General features: G+C 36.5%; 1 protein-coding gene across 7 annotated transcripts in view; it reads right to left on the bottom strand.

The window, feature by feature from the left end:
* The window catches only part of CCDC144A (coiled-coil domain containing 144A), a 111,165-nt gene that overhangs the window by 33,690 nt on the left and 56,276 nt on the right, over positions 1-21,199 (bottom strand). For 3 of the 7 annotated variants that reach the window (NM_014695.3, NM_001382000.1, XM_017025430.2), the window contains exons 9-12: positions 16,452-16,665; positions 12,209-12,392; positions 11,526-11,654; positions 8,549-9,502 (exon numbers count right to left, since the gene is read on the bottom strand). The exons of 1 other annotated variant lie outside the window; for it this stretch is intronic. In NM_014695.3, the coding sequence (NP_055510.1) occupies positions 8,549-9,502; positions 11,526-11,654; positions 12,209-12,392; positions 16,452-16,665 (1,481 nt within the window). Of the gene's footprint in view, positions 1-6,516; positions 6,655-8,548; positions 9,503-11,525; positions 11,655-12,208; positions 12,393-16,451; positions 16,666-19,661; positions 19,947-21,199 lie in introns of those variants that run through there. 3 more of the 7 variants (XM_017025429.3, NR_130142.2, XM_047437149.1) reach the window with 3 other exon arrangements.

Below are 21,199 nucleotides of genomic sequence, written 5' to 3'. Positions count from 1 at the left end.
CTTCTCACCACCAAAAAATCATTCTACCAAAAAGACACATGCACCCAATGTTCACTGCAGCACTATTCACAACAGCAAAGATATGGAATAAAACCAGAAGCTCATCAATGATGCACTGGATTAAGAAAATGTAGCACATATACAATATGGAATACTATGCAACTATAAAAAGAACAAAATACTGCCCTTTGCAGCAACATGGATGCAGCTGGAGGCCATTATCCTAAGCAAACTGATGCAGAAACAGAAAACCAAATACTACATGTTCTCACTTATAAGTGGGAGCTAAACATTGGGTACACATGGACATAAAGATGGGAGCAATAGACAGTGGGGACTATAAGAAGGGGGACTGGGTTGGACAATGGTTGAAAAATGACATGCCAGGTACTATGCTCATTACCTGGGTGATAGGTTCAACTGCACCCTAAACCTAAGCATTATGCAATATACCTGTGTAACAAACCTGCACATGTACTCCCTGAATCTGAAAGTTAAGAAAGAGAAAGAATAAGATAAAAATAAAATGCCCTTTATAACTTGCAACAAAAAAACACCAATAACATTCTTCACAGAAATGGAAAAAACAATCCTAAAATTCATATGGAACTGCAAAAAAGCTAGACTATACAAGCCAAGCCTGAGGGAAAAGAACAGAGCTGGAGGCATCACTCCACCTGACTTCAAAATATATTACAAGGTTACAGTAACCAAAAGAGCAAGGTCTTGGTATAAAAATAGAAAATTAAACCAATGGAACAGAATAGAGAACACAGAAATAAATCCACATATTTACAGACACCTGATTTTCAACAAAAGTATCAAAAACATACATTGGGGAAAGAACCCTCTCTTCAACAAATGGGGCTGGGAAAAGTGGGTATCTGTAAAAAGAAGAATGAAACCAGGTCCCTATCTTTCACCATATACAAAAATCAACTCAAAATAGATTAAAGACTTAAACATGAGATCCAAAATTATAAAACTACTAACAAGAAAATATATGGAAAATGCTTCAGGACATTGGTCAAGGCAAAGATTTTATAGCTAAGTTATCACGGGCATATGCAAAAAAAAGCACAGGTATAAAAACAAAAATACACAAGTAAAGCTATATTAAAATTAGGTTTCTTCACAGCAAAGGAAACAATCAACAAAGTGAAGGAAACAACCAACAATTGTAGACTGGGAGAAAATATTTACAAATCTATTCATCTGAGAAAGGTCTAATATCTAGAATATGCCAGGAACTCAAACAACTCAACAGTAAAAATTGTTAATAATCCCCCCTGAAATGTGGACAAAGAATTTAAATAGACATTTCTAAAAAGAAGACATACGAATGTCCACAAATGTATGGAAAAGTACTCAACATCACTAACAGGAAAATGAAAACAAAATCCCAAATAAGATATCGTCTCACCACAGAATGGCTACTATCAAAAAAAATCAAAAAACAAAAAACAAAGAAACCAGAAGTAAAAAATCCTGGCGAGGTTGGAGAGAAAAAGAAAACTCTTATGCACTCGTGGAGGGAATGTAAACTAGTATAACCATGGAAGTTTCTTAAAAAGCTAAAAATAGAAGTGTCATATGATCCAACAATCCCACTACTATTTATCCAAAAGAAAGAAAATCAGCATATCAAAGGGATACCAGTATTCCCATGTTGATTGCAGCACTATTCACAACAACCAAGATACAGAATCAACCTAAATGTTCATCAACAGATCAATGTGGTTGATGAGTAAAGAAAATGTGGTATATGTCCACAGTGGAATACTATTCAGCCATAAAAAAAGAATAAAATCATGTCATTTACAGCATGATGAGGACATTAAGTGACACTAAGTGAAATAATTCAAGCACAGAAAAATAACTACTGTATGTTTTCACTCATGTGGGAGCTAAAATTTAAAAAAAAGTTCACGGAAGTAGAGAGTAGAACTGTGGGTATTAGAGGCTGAGAAAGGTAAAGGGGAGTAGAAGATGGGGAGAGGCTGGTTAATGGATACAAGATTACAGTTACATAGGAGGAATGAATTCTAGTGTTCTGTTGCATTGTAGGGTGAATATGGTTAACTAATTTTTTTTTTTTTTTTGAGACAGAGTCTTGCTCTGTCACCCAGGCTTGGCGTGCAGTGGTGCAATCTCAGCTCACTGCAATCTCCGCCTCCGGGGTTCAAGTCATTCTCCTGCCTCAGCCTCCCAAACAGCTGGGATTACAGGTGTGTGCCACTACACCTGGCTTGGCTAGCTAATATTTAAAAAGCTAGAGGGGAGGATTTTGAAAGTTCACAACACAAAGAAATGGTAAATGTTTGAGGTGATGGAATATATTAATTAGCCTGATTTGACCATTATGCATTGTTTACACATATCAAAATATCACTGTGTATACCATAAATATGTTCAATTATACAGGTCCACAAAAAATCTAAAGAAGCCAGGTGTGGTGTCACATTCCTGTGGTCTCAGCTACTTGGGAGGCAGAGGCAGGAAGAATTCTTGAGCCATGGAGGTCAAGGCCGGCCTGGGTAACATAATAAGACACCATGTCTAAAAAAAAATACATCAATAAAAATAAAAGCAAAATCATTCATCCTATATACAGACTATGGGTGAAACTTAGTGACTTGCTTCTAATGAACAGAAAGTGTTAAAAGTGATAACCATGTGGCTTCCAACATTAAGTTAGAAGAGGCTCTCTACCGCAGACTGCTCACCCTTGGACCCCAGCCCCCATGCTGTGAGGAAGCTTAGGCCACAAAGAGAGCCTAGGAGTTCCAATGTAGATATTTGGGCAACCTGCCCCAGCTAAAGTTCCAACCAATAGCCACCATCAGCAACAGACATCTTAGTGAACAAACCTTCAGATGATTCCAGTCCCTCAGCCTTTGATTTATCCCAAGTGAAGCTGAAGGGAGCAGAGGCAAGCTGTCCCAGCCAAGGTTTTCCCAAGCCACAGATTGGTGAACTTAACGAATGTTGTTCTTAGCCACTCAACTTTGGGTAATTTGTTAGGAAAAAATAACCAGAAAAATAAATTTAAACAAGGAGACAACAAGAAATAGAATAACATACCCAGTAGAAATTAGTCTCCTTTAAAGTAAGATCTAAAAAATGTTGAGGTTAATTTATTAATGACAAACAACTCTAATGGGAAGCAGCAGACAACCAGGAGAAGGATGTAAGAACTACTGCAGAGGAAGTTTAGAAAAAGTTCCTTTCGATTACAAATTCTGATGACTAAGCCAGTGAGGCTTTTAGAATTTGTCCCCCGAGTTATGAAATAAGGAAGATGAAGAAGGAAGGAGATATATAATTTGAAGTATAAAGTTGAAAAAACCAGAAATATTTGATTAATAACCAAAAATCAGACATTGTACCTGATTTCAATGAACTGAAATTCTAAAAGTAATAAGCAGCTTTGGATATTTATTAATCAATCTAGGATTCAATCTTCATTTCCATTTCCTCAGTGAGAAAATTAACAAAATATTATGGAATCAGTTTTAACAATCTCAGAAGTAAAAATGTAGTGTCCTTTGAGTGTTAAGCTATTAAATGCAATTTCCCCTTTACCTTACTTCAAGCTCATTTGTATGGAGAAGAGAAGAGCATCTCATCTTTATGTTGTATCAAAATGCTTCTCCATATCATAAAAATTGGCTCTGAAATTTTGAAATTCATACAACTAATTCAACCATTTGTTTCTGATAAATGCCTGGACATGACCTGATTTCCAGTTGCTGTACTCCTGGAAGTTGTTCTTTGAATGGGTTGAAGTATTTATTCAATGAATTATGTATTGAACTATAAAAGCATAGCTATGCATCTCTATTTAAGCAAAAGGAGGTAAATGCAGGGAACTCTGGTTTCTGAGAATGTAGTATCTGTGCCAAGAAGAGGATTCAGCTCCGGGAGTGTACAAGAGAACCAGGTGCTGGGTCAAAAGAGTATCTAACTGTAAACTGCAACATGATGAATTAGCTCAATTTCCAATGAGGAAAGATGACAGCCTAGACTTAATCTTGCCCTTCATAGATAGTTAAAATCTACACATGACTCTATGACTTACAATGAGTTAATAAAAACATAATGCAGTAAATAGTAGAAGGAGTCAGCATATCCTGTGACCAAGATTTGATGGAAATGGGAATGAAGAGAGAGGCACTGGGTGAGAGACAAAAGGTATGACTGGAGAAAAAAAATTAATGGGATCTGTCTTCGTAAGCCTGACTCTCATCATGTCATGGAGTCAGCAAGGCATAAGCTGGCCATACACTCCTTCAAGAAGCAAAAAGTGAAATTAAAGACATTCTACTACTTGAATTTCTATTCTTACATAAGACAACTGGTAATAAGCAACAGGACTGAAAATGAATTTTCCTAAAATGTGATTTGCTACTGGCATAAGGATAGACATAGCTCAATATATTATAACTGAGAATCCAAAAACAAACACACATTTTTATGGTCAACTGATTTTCAACAAGGGTGTAAAAAAAATTAAATGAGAAATGAATAGATTTTTCAACAAATGGTTCTGGGAAAACGGTATATCCACATGCAAAAGAATAAAGGTGGACTTCACCAAATGTCATACCTAAAAGTAACAAAATAGAACCACTAAATGTAAGAACTAAAACTATAAAATTCCTAGAAGAAAACATAGCCATAAATCTTTGTGACTGCAAAACAAACAAACAAAAAAATTAACTGGACTTCATCAAAATGTGAAACTTCTGTGCTTGAACAGAGACCATCAAGAAAGTGAAAAGGAGGCTGGGCATGGTGGCTTACACCTATAATCCCAACACTTGGGAGGCCGAGGTGGGAGGATTGCTTGAGCTCAGGAGTTCAAAACCAGCCTGGACAACATAGTGAGACCTTCTCTCTACAATTTAAAATTATATAAATTTTAAAAACATAATAAATCATAAAAAAGAAAATAAAAAGGAAAGCCATTGAAAATATTTGGAAACATATCTGATAAGGGACTTACACCTAGGGTATATAAAGAACTCTTAAAATTCAGAAATTTAGGACAACCCAATTTTAATGTGGGCAAAAGATTTGAACAGATATTTCTCCAAAGAAGATATACAAGTGGCTCATAAGCACATAAAAAGAGGCTTAAAGTCATTCATCATTAGGGAAATGTGAATCAAAACCACAATGAGGTACCACTTCATACCTCTAGGTTGGAATTCTTTTTCAATCAAAAATATGAAAAATGTTGGCAAGGATGTGGAGAAATTAGAACCCTCATACAATGCTGATGGGAACGTAAAATGGTGCAACCACTTTGGAAAGCAGACTGGCAGCTCCTCAAAAGGTTGAGCATAGTGTTACCATATGACCCAGAAATTCAACTCATATGTATATACCCAAGAGAAAGGAATACATATACAAACACAAAAACTTGTAAATAAAAGTTCACAGCAGCATGATTAATAATAGCCAAAACATGGAAACAACCCAAAGGTCCATCAACGGATGAATGGCTAAATAAATTAGTGGTATGTCCATACAGTGGAAAATTACTCAGCAATAAGATGAAATTAAATATTGATACATGTTACAACACAATGAACCTTAAAAATGTTATGCTAAGTAGAAGAAGCCAGTCACAAAAGACCACCACACATTGTGTGATCCAATTGATACGTGGTGTCCAGAATGGGCTAATCTATGGAAACAAAATAGATTGCTGATTCTTTTCAGGGTCATGAAAATGTCCTACAATTGATGATGGTGATGGTTATGCAACTCTGTGAATATATTAAGAGACCATGAATTGTACACGTTCAATGGGTAAACTGTATGGTATGAGAATTCTCTCTCAGTAAACTTGTTTTTAAAAATTCAGTGGTAGAATCTAGATATATCTCTTAATTCTCTACTTTGGATGTACATACTATACATGATTTGTAAAAAAGCACAATATATTTAAAATGAAAGGAAAATAAAGGAAGTACCTAACATTTCAAGTAGTTTGTAAATTAAAACATTTGCATTTTGGAGAACAGTACTATGGCCTTTCTGTACCAGTTATCCTGAAATTCATGAAATAAATATACACAGATTCTGTACCCATTCACAAAAGATAAGAAATAAGACAATTTTCTGGAACATTCTATTAAACATTATCCTATAATTTAATCTGGCTTGCCTCACCATGGCAATAGAGAAATCACTAAAAAAATACTACTTCACAGGAAAAAAAAAGCCTCTCAACTTCTGTGAGGAATACTGAATAATTCCCAATTTTCCTAAGGATCTTTGGAAATGATCCTTATTTTTAAAATGTATGTACTTATGAGGAGAAAAAGACAGAATGAAAGCCAGAGGTTAAGAAACAAGTGTATTATAAAGATAATTAAATTGTAATAAAATGAATTATAATAAAAATACAAAAGAAAGCTATCCACTGCAATCAGTATCCTAAAACATCTGACATTATTTCACCACCTATAGATTAACTGTTGACATGTTATGTTTCATACATACTTCACTTCTGATTTGACCCAATTTCTTCTTTGAATCCTGTGTCTCATCTAAATTAATGTGACAACGTGAGGTAGCCTCTGACGTAGGTTGTTGTTTTAGGAGATCGGTCCATTCTTGTTGGAATTCTCTCATAACTACCTGTGAAGGTATTTTTTGTTACTGATTTATAAATCACCTTATTATTAAATTATGGTAGTAAGATTTAACTCTGGCCGGGCGCGGTGGCTCACGCCTGTAATCCCAGCACTTTGGGAGGCCGAGGCGGGCGGATCACGAGGTCAGGAGATCGAGACCATCCCGGCTAAAACGGTGAAACCCCGTCTCTACTAAAAATACAAAAAATTAGCCGGGCGTAGTGGCGGGCGCCTGTAGTCCCAGCTACTTGGGAGGCTGAGGCAGGAGAATGGCGTGAACCCGGGAGGCGGAGCTTGCAGTGAGCCGAGATCCCGCCACTGCACTCCAGCCTGGGCGACAGAGCGAGACTCCGTCTCAAAAAAAAAAAAAAAAAAAAAAGATTTAACTCTAACTCATATACTTTGAAAAACATCAACACATATATGATTCGCCTTCTTTTCCTCATGTGCACACATTCTTGTTTATTACTGAATTTAGTTAAGGACAAAGAAGGTGTTATCTTCCTGCCAAATCGGTTTTCTGTTAACTTAGGCAATAGATTCAGCCCACTACTCACTCTTCCCTGAAACATCTGCAGTGCTTAACAACCTACTGAAGTCTCAAAAAGAATTTGGTACGTGGGTGGGGCTGCTGGTGGTACATCCCACACTGGTAAAATGTTTTCCCTGTTTTTTATTAGAAGCTCAAATCAACCTCAGAGTTCCTTGCATATTCAATTGCCTGCTCAGATCCTTCTAAAAGATTCCTATCTCACAATACAAGTAAAATTCCAATGGCCTTTGAGGCCCTAGGTAACCTGGCCTCTACCTCCCTCCTGATCTCAGCTCCTACAACTGTCTCACCGATTCAGTCCATTCCTGCTATATGTGAATCCTGCCACTTCTGATTAGTTTGAAAATGGGACTCAGTGCCAAACAAATAAATCACAGATAGCCACAGTTACCTTTGTACTATCAAAGTTATATCCGAATGATAGGCAGTGAGCCTTGAAATGAAAATTATGAGCAAATTCTTTGTAAAAACATTCAAAGTAAATTATAAACACCAGTGGTAAGATTAAATGTAACATGGCTTTGCTGAAATTCACATCTGTCCCAAATTATGATTTAATAAAAAGTAAATGCCTTTAGGCTGGGCACAGTGGCTCATGCCTCTAATCCCAGCACTTTGGGAGGCCAAGGCGGGCGGATCACCTGAGGTCAGGAGTTCGAGACCAGCCTTGCCAACATGGCAAAACTCCGTCTCTACTAAAAATACAAAACTTACAGAGCAAAATTCCATCTCAAAAAAAAAAAAAAAAAAAAAGTAAATGCCTTTAAAGAATTGAGAGGTCATAACAAGTAATTTGAGACTGAAATCGTCTCAGATTTAAGTCAAATTGATATGAATAAAAATAAAATTATACCAACTTAAATACATTACAAAATTACTGAAGGAAAAGTATTATGAGATACAGCAGTATACTTCAGTTCACCTGGGAAATCTGGAATTAACGGTCAAAGCAACCCTCCCCACTGAATCTTAATTTCAAAATACTCATGTCAGGTATGAGCATTTCTGTTTATCTGCTTCATCATGGTATTAAAACATGGCCACATAAAGGCATTGCAATGATCATTTCAGCAGCATAAGACTACATCATGAGTATTAGTCTGTACCTATTAACACTGTAACTGAACTTGAAATTTCATAGGTGACACAATTTCTTTATGCAAAGTAAAGCATCTTTCAGGTTTAACTTCTTTTTCACTGGTACATTTCTAGGCTGATACAGCAAGTACATTTATGATCTATACATTTTATATTCAACTAGATACAACATTTAGCCATAACCAAATATTACTTTACATTTTCTTTCAGGAAGGTTGAAAAATATTTTATCTTTCTTAATACTTACTTTTCTTCCTGCTTTCTCTTTCTCACATTGATCCATTCTTTCTTTTAAATGATTATATTCATCCATCAGCTCCTTGTTCTTCTCTTGTAGTGAAAGAATCTGCTTTTCACTCTCAGCTTGAAGATTTTTGGCAGCAGAATGAAACTGGTCTTGGATAGTACTGCTTGTCTTTTCTTGACTGTTAGCTTTCTTGTGAGCATCATCCAGTTGCTGTCGAAGCAACATATTTTCACTTTGTAGTTGAGATAATCTCTCCTCTACAGATTCCTGCTTGGCAATGTATTTCTTCAGTTTGCTTTGTTCAATTTGGTACATTTGTTCAGTTTCTTTCTTCTGACACTGTGTTTGGCTGAGGTCTCTTTGCACACGTTCCAAAATCAAACTCTCTCTTCCAAGAGCATCTCTTGTGTTATGGAGCTGAATTTGTAGGCTGTTAATTTTACTTTCAGCATTAGAAAGTTTTTCAGAAAGAATCTCATTCTTAGCTTGTAGGCCAGACATATCAACCTTCATTTTGTCATGTAAACGAACCCACTCTTGTCTTGTTCTCTGGAAATCAAGTTTTAGGTCTCTTGCTGTCTGACTTTGATCACAGTCACGTACAGCAGCAGCTAGTCTACAACGGTATGATTCCATTTCTATTTCTAGTCTTTCTTGGTTCTGTTTCCCATTCTCCAGTTCAGAATTGAGTATTTTGTTCTCAGCTGTCAGATTGTTCAGCTGTCCACTGTACTGGAGTATTGTTTCTGTTAATGTTTCCTCATTTAGTTTTATAATTTTTTGAAGGTTATCATTCTTTTCTTTCACAGCCTCAATGTCCTCAAAATATTTCTTTTCCTTTTGCTTGTTCTGATTTTTTATTGTATCTATTTCCAGTCTCAGCAAGGCAATTTCTTCCTGCAACATGCAATCTTCATGAAAGAGATCCTTTTCTTTCTGATGCCTATGAGAAATCTAAGTAAGAAAGGAAACATTCAGTAGCACTCAATAAAATGACAGATTATGATTTTCTCTGAAATTAAATAATGTATACAATGAAAAGATTGCCATAAGTGGATATCCAACTGGAAAAAAATATTCTATCGAAACTTCAAACCTCATAGAGCATAAATTCCCAAAACTTCATAAGTTTATTTGAAGACAATGAATCCATGAATGTAGAACATAAATAACTAGAGAATTTTTAAGCATCTCAGAATTGGAAAAGACGGTCTCCAAATTACAACAAACTCAAAGGCATTAAAGATTAATAAATTTGACTACATTAAAAAATTGGCTTTACACTCTGACATCTAACCTATACACCACCCTATAGTAAAAGCTGTAGCTTTGCATATATCTGGACAGAGGAAATGTTCCAACGTTCTTTAAGTTCTTTTTTTCCTGAGAATATTCTATAGCTATTTATTTTTCTAACATTTTTCTCATCAGTTATATAAGAATTACATTTATTCATAAATGCTAAATCTAAGCATTATATTAGGCTTTTTTTTTTTTTTTTTCGAGATAGGGTCTCCACTCCATCACTCAGGTTAGAGGGCAGTGACGCAATCAAGACTCACTGTAGCCTTGGCCTCCCGGGCTCAGGTGATCCTCCCACTTCAGCCTCCTGGGTAGCTGAACTAGAGGCACACACCCCCACACGCAGCTAAATGTATTTGTACTTTTTGTAGAGATGGGGTTTCGCCATGCTGCCCAGGCTGGTCTGGAACTCCTGGGCTCAAGTGATCCACCCACCTCGGCCTCCCAAAGTGTTGGGATTACAGGCGTGAGCCACTGCACCTGGCCTTGTACCAAGCACTTGTACATGTATCACTGAACTCATTTATACACAATTCTGAAAGGAGAGGTCAAAAAATATGCAAGTTGCAGGATTTTCCCTAGGTCCCCTTACTTTACTTCTAGTGCTCTTCCACCAAACCACAATTACTTCTGTGTTGTGTATATATAAATATAAAAGAGGCTTATTTCAAAACACCAGTGGTAAAAAAAGAAGTTACAGAGCTTTTCTTAGAAAATCATGAGATTATCTGTTATTACAATAACTTAAGTTTCCTCTTTATAATGTCTGAAACAGAAATAAGCATGAAACAGGGTGAAATACACTGAACTATTTTTCTTTTCTTTTTTTTTTTTTTTTGAGACGGAGTCTCGCACTGTTACCCAGGCTGGAGGGCAGTGGCCCAATTTTGGCTGACTGCAAGCTCCGCCACCCAGGGTTCACGCCATTCTCCTGCCTCAGCCTCCCGAGTAGCTGGGACTACAGGTTCCCGCCACCACGCCTGGCTAATTTTTTTTGTATTTTTAGTAGAGATGGGGTTTCACCGCGTTAGCCAGGATGGTCTTGATCTCCTGACCTCGTGATCCACCCGCCTCAGTCTCCCACACACTGAACTATTTTTCTAAGAAAAAACACTTACCAATAAATTATCACCAAGTTTATATTATGGCATATCATTGTTTTCAAAGCTCTTTGCACTGAAATGAGACGCTACTTGGAGCAAACTGTTACTCTCCTCAAAAGTAAGGGAAACGGCATCTGAAGTACGGCCTCTGAACTGGCTATACATTTCATCCTTACTACAAGTGGAAATAATAATCTAACCTCTCCATTAATATATTAGGAAGATGAAATAATGTCTGAAAACTAGAACGTCTGTTGTTAGTAGCAAGGATTTTGAGATTGTGGAAAGATCATTAATTCTATGAAAAATAACAAATGTTTCTCCTTTGGATAAGGCCACTGTGAATGTCACTACTTGACTCTTGCAAACAAATGGAGTTGAATTAAGAACATGACTTTATTCAATGAGCCAAAAATGCCAGAACCACCATCACCACCCCCAAATGTGTGTGTGTGTGTGTGTGTGTGTGTGTGTAGTTCAAAAATCCATTGTACTTTCCAAGTTGCACAGAGTTGTTTTTTAAAAATATATTCACATACAAAAATATATTTGAAAATGACTAAAGAAAATACCTCAGAATTCATTTTCTTTCGAGCCATTTCTAGTTCCTTTTGTTTACTCGTCAGAATCTGATCTTGTAATATTCTGGCATCCTGTTCTTCAGAAAGTTGCTTCTGGGCATCGTTTCTCTCCTGCACAACCTAGAGATAACATGGAGGTTTTGGTCTAATAGCACTGAAAAAGAAAATCTAAAAGGTTAAGAGCAGAGCCTCTCTTATAAAACGGTTAAAAAGAAGTAGCCTGTTAAAACACAAGAACTTTTATCCCTCAAGAATCACTCAAATCTTAATTGCATACATGACAGCTAAATCTGTCAAAGAGGAAAAACAGTTCTTAACTACGAGAAGATACAGCATTGTGAAATAAAATTTCTTTCAAAACATTTAACTAGTGTCCTTATAGTTTCAAAGCTATTTAGCCTGTATTTTAACATAAAAAATGTGTAAATGAACAGCTATATTAGTGATTAAACTCAACTTATCCTCCACTCTAAAAACACAGACTGAGCATCTATTAGATGACAAGGTTTACAGTAAATAATTTTATCTATAAATGTCATAGTTCATTCTTAAGAGGAAATAACAGTTTTGGTTTATTTTAAACCTAAATGATATACATGAAGGCAAAAAATTATAAGTAATACCGATGAAACATAAAGTTAGAAAAATGAAGTTTACACCAAAGATTAATTTACCAGATCCAAGTTATTTCTTACTGTCCTCAATTCCTTAACAAGTCTTCTCAGATTCCATTTAAGTTGTTGCTTTGTTTCAACCACTTTCCCACACTCCTCTTCTTTTATTCTTAACTGTTCACTATCTTTATTATACAACATATCGGCATTTCTTTTCTCCTCATTTTCTTGTTTTAAGGCAAGTCTGCAGTTAAACATGGATTACATTAAAATGTGTTTTGTTAAAAAATAAAAAAGTTTATTCTGTGATCTGGCTCTTCCCATGTGGGTTTATTATCCTCATAAAAACTCCTATGCTCTTGTTTCCTTTCTAGTTCTCATGTTTTTAATTTCTCACTTCGATCTCTTCCAAGGGACATATATATTTGAGAGGTAGTGAGGAAAGAAATATTCCATTAACTGGTAAGTTTCTGTTACTAGTAACCCTGGTAAATATTATGGAAAAGCATATTTGAAATTTTTCAGTAAAGTTACAAGTTGAAAATTACTTCTTTTTCACGTTATGCAAGTTGAAAATTAATTAGAACAGATCATTTAGAGTTAGCTAATTTAAAAGAAGTTACTGTTTACAAACAAGTTTAGAAATTCACTAGAAATGCATTTTCATCTTCATGAAATAGTATATGTGTAGTCATAAAAATGATTTACAGTGTAAGATAACACCTTCAGATGTCATTCACACACCATGTATCTGCAGATTACTATAATCCAAGACTAGCCTAAGCTGTCTATAACTGTTACCCCATCCTTTTTATGTTTCTCTTTTGGGTAACACTTTCAACTTATCTTCTTGATTCTTAAGTATTTCATCACCAATTTTAAAATCCCTTTTTGGAACAAGACAGGATCTAATATTTAAAAGTAAAGGATAATATGTGTTTCAACAATGAATTTGGAATTAATTTTATCTGCATATGAGAGATATGGAATAAAATAATCATCAATTACTGTCCATTTTACTTATTTCGTGCATATTTAGAATAAAACTGGGAAGTCCTAGCCAGAGCAATCAGGTAAGAGAAATAAATAAAGGGCATCCAAATTGGAAAAGACAAAGTCAAACTATCTCTGTTTTAGCTTAGAAAACCCTAAAGACTCCTAGATTTAATCAATGAAATCAGTAAAAGTCTCATGTTACAAAATCAATGTACACAAATCAGGAGCACTAGTAAACATCAAGAATGACCAATGTGAGAATCTAATCAAGAACCTAATCCCTTTTACAACAGCTGCAACAACAACAACAACAACAAAAACCTAGGAATATACTTAACCAAGGAGGTGAAAGATCTCTAAAAGGAGAATTAGAAAGCACTGCTGAAGGAAATCATAGATGACACAAACAAATGGAAATATGCCCTATGTTCATAGATTAGAAGAATCAATATAGTGAAAATGATCATATTAACCAAAGCAATCTACAGATTCCATGCAATTCCTATTAACATACCACTGTCATTCTTCACAGAATTAGAGGACGTACCCCTAAAATTCACAGGGAATCAAAAACGAGCCTGAATAGCCAAAGCAATCCCAAGCAAAAAGAACGAAGCCAGAGACATCACATTACCAGATCTAAAACCATATGACAAGGCTAAAGTAACCAAAACAGCATGGTACTTGTATAAAAGTACATACGTAGACCAATGGAACAGAATAGAGAACCTAGAAATAAAGCCAAATATGTATAACCAACTGACCTTTCACAAAGCGTACAAAGACATAAACTGGGCAAAGAACACCCTATTCAATAAATGGTGTTGGGAAAATTGAATAGCCACATGTAGAAGAATGAAACTGGATCCCTATCTCTCACCATATATAAAAATTAACTCAAGATGGATTAGGCCTAACATGTGGCTCACATCTGTAATCCCGGTACTTTGGGAGGCCAAGGCAGGAGAATGACTTGAGCCCAGAAGTTTGAGACCAGCCTGGGCAACATAATGAGACCTCATCTCTACCAAAAAAAAACAAAAAATGTATGTGTGTATATATATATATATATATATATATATATGAAACTACCTACTGAGGTACAATATGTACTACTCAGGTGATGGGCGCACTAAAATCCCAGAGTTCACCACCATACAATTCATATATATATATATATTTTTTTTTTTTGAGACAGAGTCTCGCTCTGTCACCCAGGCTGGAGTGCAGTGACACGGAGGCCAAGGTAGGAGAATCACCTGACGTCAGGAGTTCAAGACCAGCCTGACCAACATGGAGAAACCTTGTCTTACTAAAAATACAAAATTAGCCAGGCGTGGTGGCAATGCCTTTAATCACAGCTACTCAGGAGGCTGAGGCAGGAGAATAGCTTGAACCCGGGAGGCAGAGGTAGCCATGAGCCGAGATCACGCCATTATACTCCAGCCTGGGCAACAAGAGTGAAACTCTGCCTCAAAAGAAAAGAAAAGAAAAGGCTTCTGCACAGCAAAAGAAATAATCATCAGAGTAAGAGAACCTACAGAATAGGAGAAAATATTTGCAAACTATGCATCTGACAAAGGACAAACAAATCAGCAAGAAAATGCAAATAATCCCATCAAAAAGTACACAAATGACATGAACAGACATTTTTCAAAAGAAGATGCCCAAATGGCCAACAAACATATTTAAAAATGCTCAACAGCACTAACATTCACGGAAATACAAACTAAAACAACAAGGAGATATCACCTTACTCCAGCCAGCATGCTCATTATTAAAAAGTCAAAAAACAATAGATGTTGGTGCAGATGTGGTGAAAAGGAAATGCTTATACACTGCTGGTGGAAATGTAAATTAGTACAACCTCTATGAAAAACAGTAGACAGATTTCTCAAACAACTAAAATAGAGCTACCATTCAATCCAACAATCCCCTACTGGGCATCTACCCAAAGGAAAAGAAATCATTATATCAAAAAAAACACCTGCAAACGTATGTCTATTGCAGCACATTTCACAATTGCGAAGATACGGAATCAACCTAAGGGTCCATCAACCAATGAATGGAATAAATAATATGTGGTATATATATGTCATGGAGTACTACTCAGCCATAAGAAGAATGAAATAATGTCTTTTGCAGCAACTTGGAAGGGACTGGAGGCCATTATTCTAAGTGAACTAACTCAGGAATGGAAAGCCAAATAAAACCACATTCTCGCTCATAATAGGGAGTTAAGCTATAGGTGCACAAATGCAGACACAGTAGTATAATGGACATCGGAGAATCAGAAGTGGGAGAGTGTGGGAGGAGGATGAGGGATGAGAAACTACCTACTGAGGTACAATGTGTACTACTCGGGTGATAGGCACACTAAAATCCCAGACTTCACCACCATACAATTCATCCATTTAACCGAAAACCACTTGTATACCTAAAGCTATGAAATTTAAAAAAAATTTTTCAAAAAGAATAAAACTGTATAAATTTTTTGAAAATTACTTTGGGTTTAGAAAAGTGACCAGTTCATGCTCTGTTGCTTGAACTATAAATTAACACAAACATTCTTGTGAAAAATTAAGAAATATTGATCAAAGGTCTTTTTAAAAAGTTCCTATATTTCAACCAATAATTCTATATTGGAGAATTTATTCAAAGCAAACAGTTTAGGAATGTAGAAAAACATTTATATAAAAAATGTTCTGGGCTGGGCATGACGGCTCATGTCTGTCATACTAATGATTTGGGAGGCCAATTTTGCAGAAGGAATGCTTGAGGTTGGGAATTGGAGATCATCCTGAGCAACACAGTGATACCCCGTCTCTACAAAACACTTAAAAAGTTAGCCAAGCATGAGAATGTGCACCTGGAGTCCCAACTACTTAGGATGCTGAGGCAGGAGGATGGAGTTCAAGGCTGCAGGGAGGTATGATCACACCAGTGAACTCCAGTCCCAGGCACAGAGACCCTGTGTCTACAAATAATAGTAACGATAAAAGATGTTCCTTACATCATTAATTATAAATACAAGATAATTTTAAAACCCAAATTACAATTTGTTAAATGAATAACAAGATTTTATATGGTGGACTTCTATATGGCCATTTAGATTGCAAAGAATACACATTTATTTATTAGAAGAGTTCACAGTTAATAATTTGTTTTATTATTTCCAAGAATTTCATATTCCACAAGACCAAAAAGGTTTCTCCCCCATTATTCTGCAGAAGGTAAGTCAGCAGTTACAAAAATTCTGATATATTGTCTTTAGTATAAACATTTCTTTAGAACTAGAACATCATACCTCAAATCGTACAGCTCTTTCTCCCATTCAATTTTTTGAAGTTCTAACTGTAATTTTGTCTTTTTTGTTTCAGATAGCTCATTTTGTAGTACACTGACCATATTTTCCATTTGTTTAAGTTTTACTGTAAGTTGGTCACAGTGATTATTCTTAAGTTTCAGTAAGTGTTCACACAAACAAAATGTGTCTTGGATTCTTGGTAGGCTAGCAGAATCTGTGTCAGGGAGAAAAGGTAGAAATAAAATATATGAGTACTTTTAGGTATTAAAAAACTGTGCATTTTTAACATTGTCTCCTTCATACATTGAACAAATATGCACTGAGTGCCTACAAAGTGGGAGACATTCTACTAAGCTCTGCAGATAAAACAGATAAGACCTCTACTCTCATTTAGCCTTAAGTGAAGTGAGGAACAAACACAACAAAAATGACAATTATAAATTCAGATATGTGGTGTAAGAAAACAGAGTTCTATGATCACACAGAAGAATTTGATCTATAATGGGCCCAGGGAAGATTTCCCTGAGGAAGAGATGGCTACACTGAGAAATGAAGGGTGAGAAGGAAGCAGTTAAGCAAAGGGGTAGAAAAGCATTCTTGCCAGTCGACAGCAGGTGCTGAAGCTCTGCTGGAATCTGCTTCTGGCCACAATGGACAGCAAGTACTGATTTACCTTCTTGCCTGAAACAACCAAAAAGAAAACAGACAAAATATATTATACAATGATTTACCAGGCAGTGGACTTCAGGTAATGAAGACAATGATCCCCGTAAGACAGGAAACAAAGGAAATTCATCCAACACTCCAGCTCCCTGCCTTCACGGAGTTTCCAGGCTACCGCACAGAGAGAAAAAACTGACATAGAGTCCACCAGATTCCCTGAGATGAGATGATGAAGCTGAGAGTCTGGTAAAGCCAAGGCAGACAGAGATCACGAAACAGAACACCGGAAAGGAGACAGAGTACAGGGAAAGAACACTGAAGATTTGCAAAAATACCTCCTGAGTATCTAGCAGAGTAACAAACAGCACATGTGTGCCAGAAAACCGCCCCAGATCAAGGGGAAAAAAACATCTAAAAAACACTGGAAAGAAACATGTCTGGTGTTCACGATGTGCCAAAAAGAGTGTCCATTCCCATGAGTGATGCTGGGAAAACTGAGACTTCGCATGGCAATGAATAGAGTCATCACAAAGATCTTGCCTCAGGAGCAGGAAATTAGACCAAATCATAAAAGCAAGATCAGAAAGATCAAGCTGTTCATATGGAACTCAACTGTATATTAAAATTAAGCTCAAGCAGACAGGCAGAGGCATGGAAGATTTTTCTTTTTTTTTTATCTCTCTTTTTTTTTTTTTTTGAGACGGAGTCTCGCTGTGTCGCCCAGGCTGGAGTGCAGTGGCTTGATCTCGGCTCACTGCAAGCTCCGCCTCCCGGGTTCACGCCATTCTCCTGCCTCAGGCTCCCGAATAGCTGGGACTACAGGCGCCTGCCACCGCGCCCGGCTAATTTTTTTTTGTATTTTTAGTAGAGATGGTGTTTCACCGTGTTAGCCAGGATGGTCTCGATCTCCTGACCTCGTGATCCGCCCACCTCGGCCTCCCAAAGTGCTGGGATTACAGGCTTGAGCCACCGCGCCCGGCCGGAAGATTTTTCTTTAAAGCAAACTACACTTGTAGAGATTCAAATTACAATGTCAGGAATGAAAGCTAAAATGGATGGAAGTGAACACAGATTAGACATCACCAAAGAGAAGATTCATAAATTTGAGACATCAGTGAACTATGAGAAAACTTCAAGCAGGAATAAGTCCCCAAAGAGGGAAAAAGAGAGACAGAAAAATAAAAAAAGAATGGCCAAAACTTTCTAAATGTAAAGAAAACTATAATCCTACAAATCCAGAAGTATCTGGCTGGGAGAGAGGAAATGAAAGTATACTATTCCAATTTTCTTTTTTAAAAAATTTCAATAGCTTTTGGGGTAACAGGTGGTCCTTGGTTACATGAATAAGTTCTTTAGTGGTGGTTTCTGAGATTTTGGCGCACCCATCACCCAAGCAGCATACACTGGATCCAATCCGTAGTCTTTTGTCCCTCACCCCCCTCCCACTCTTTCCCCACAAGTCCCCAACCTCCATTGTATCATTTTTATGCCCCTGCATCCTCATAGCATAGCTCCCACTTACAAGTGAGAACATACAATGTTTGGGTTTTCATTCATAATTTTCTTATGCCATATATGATATGCCATAATATTTTTTGAAGATGGACTGTGATGTTAAAATCATATACTATAAATTGTAGTGCAACTGCTAAGATAGAAAAAAATAGTTATCGCTAATAAGCCATAAAAGGGAGATAAAAATAAATCATAAAAATTACTGGACTAACTGAGAAGAAAGCAGAAAAAGAAGAGAACAAAGAACTGGGGGGACCAGTGGAAATCAAACAGCTTGATGACAGACAAATTTCACTGTATTAATAAGCACATTATAAATGGAACTGGCCTAAAAGTCTCAATTAAAAGGCAGATTGTCAGACTGGATAAAAAGGCAAGAACCTACTCCATGCTTCCTATTAAAAAAAAGCACTTTAAATGTAAAAACATAAATTGTTCAAAAGAATGGAAAAAGATATACCAGGCTAAGAGTTGACAAAAGAAGCCTGAGAAGAAATGGCTATGTTAATACCAAAGTAGATTTCACACAAAAAAAAAAAAAAAAAAAAAAAAAAAAAAAATTACCAGCTATAAACAGTCATTTCCTAATGACTTTTAAAAGTTCAGTTAATCGGCTGGGCGCGGTGGCTCATGCCTGTAATCCTAGCACTTTGGGAGGCCGAGGCAGGTGGATCACGAGGTCAGGAGATTGAGACCATCCTGGCTAACATGGTGAAACCCCGTCTCTACTAAAAATACCAAAAAAAAAAAAAAAAAAAAAAAAAAAAAAAAAAAATTCAGTTAATCAAGAACGTGTAATCTCAACTGTTTGTGCACCTAATAACAGCTTCAAAATATATGAGGCAAAAATCAATAGACGAAATAGACAAATTCACAAGTACATCTGAGATTTGAATATCACTTACTCAATAAGTGATAAAACAAGGGAGCAGCAAATCAGCAAGAATGGAGCACACTTGAACAACACCATGCTTCTCAAGTACCCAGTGAGCACTTACCAAACAGACCACATTCTAGGTTCTGCAATCAATCTTTTTTTTTTTTTTTTTTTTTGAGACGGAGTCTCGCTCTGTCTCCCAGGCTGGAGTGCAGTGGCGGGATCTCGGCTCACTGCAAGCTCCGCCTCCCGGGTTCACGCCATTCTCCTGCCTCAGCCTGCCACCACGCCCTGCTAATTTTTTGTATTTTTAGTAGAGACAGAGTTTCAACGTATTGGTCAGGATGGTCTCGATCTCCTGACCTCGTGATCCATCCGCCTCAGCCTCCCAAAGTGCTGGGATTACAGGCGTGAGCCACTGCACCCGGCCTGCAATCAATCTTAATGAAAGAATTAAGTCAGAAAGATTTAAGTCATACAAAGTATGTTCCCTGACCACATGGCAATCAAGTCACAAATTAGTAACAAAATATCTCATCAAAATATTCAAATATTTTAAAACAAAGTAATACACATCTAAATAACCCTAGGTCAAAGACACGATGCAAAGAGAAATTAGAGAGTATTTTGAACTGAATGAAAATGAAAATATTACATATCAGGATTTGTGGAACACAGCTACAACAGTACTTAAAATTTTTTAGCACTTAATGTCTATATTAGAAGACTCTCAAGTCAATGGTCTTGACTTTTATCTTAAGAAACTAAAAAAAGAGAAGAAACTGAAAAAGAAGAAGAACAAATTAAACTCAAAGCAAGCAGAGGAAATGATACAATAAGCATCTGGTATTGTCTGACATTTGCATCCTCCCAGAACTCATATGCTGAAACTTAATCACAGAGGTGATGTTATCAGAAGGTGAGGCTTTGTGGAGGTAATTAGCTCATGGGAGCCAAGCCCTCATTAGTGGGATTAGTGCCCTTATATATATAGACCCCAGAGGGCTCATTCACCTGTTCTGCCATGTGAGGACACAGGGGGAAAAAAGAGATCTATGAACCAGGAATTGGTCACTCACCAGACACCAAATCTGCCAGCACCTAGATCTTGGACTTTTGTGAGAAATCTATTTCTGTTGTTTATAAGCTACCCAGTCTATGGTATTTTGTTATAGCAGGCGGAACAGACCAAAACATCAAAGATGAAACCAATAAAATGGAAAAACAATAGGAAAAAAATCAATAAAACCACACACTATGAGGAGGTCAATAAAAGTGATAAAACTCTAGCCAGGTTGATCATAAAAAAGAAGATGCAAATTACTAATTTCAGAAACATAGTAATATGACATTTTTATAGATTCTACAGATACTAAAAGAATAGAAATATAATAAGGTAAGCTTTATGTGACTAAACATGACAACTTTGATAAAATGGACACTTTCCTTGAAAAACAAAAATTACCAAGGTCCAATTTAAGAAGGAATAACATGAACTGTCCTATATCTATAAAAGAAAGCATAAGTAAAGCCTTCCTAGAAAGAAAACTCCAGGCCCAGATAGCTATGCTGGTGAATTCTACCAAATATTTAAGAAGCAATATAACAATTTTATATGACCTCTCCCCCGCCCTCAAAAAAAAAATAGAGGAGAAATACAACTCATTCTGTCACTCTAGCATTACCCTGAACC

This window comes from Homo sapiens, chromosome 17 (genome assembly GCF_000001405.40).
Source record: "Homo sapiens chromosome 17, GRCh38.p14 Primary Assembly".
Taxonomy (NCBI): domain Eukaryota; kingdom Metazoa; phylum Chordata; class Mammalia; order Primates; family Hominidae; genus Homo; species Homo sapiens.
The sequence above is the reverse complement of the archived record's forward strand: the minus strand, read 5'-3'. Positions and strand labels throughout refer to the sequence as shown.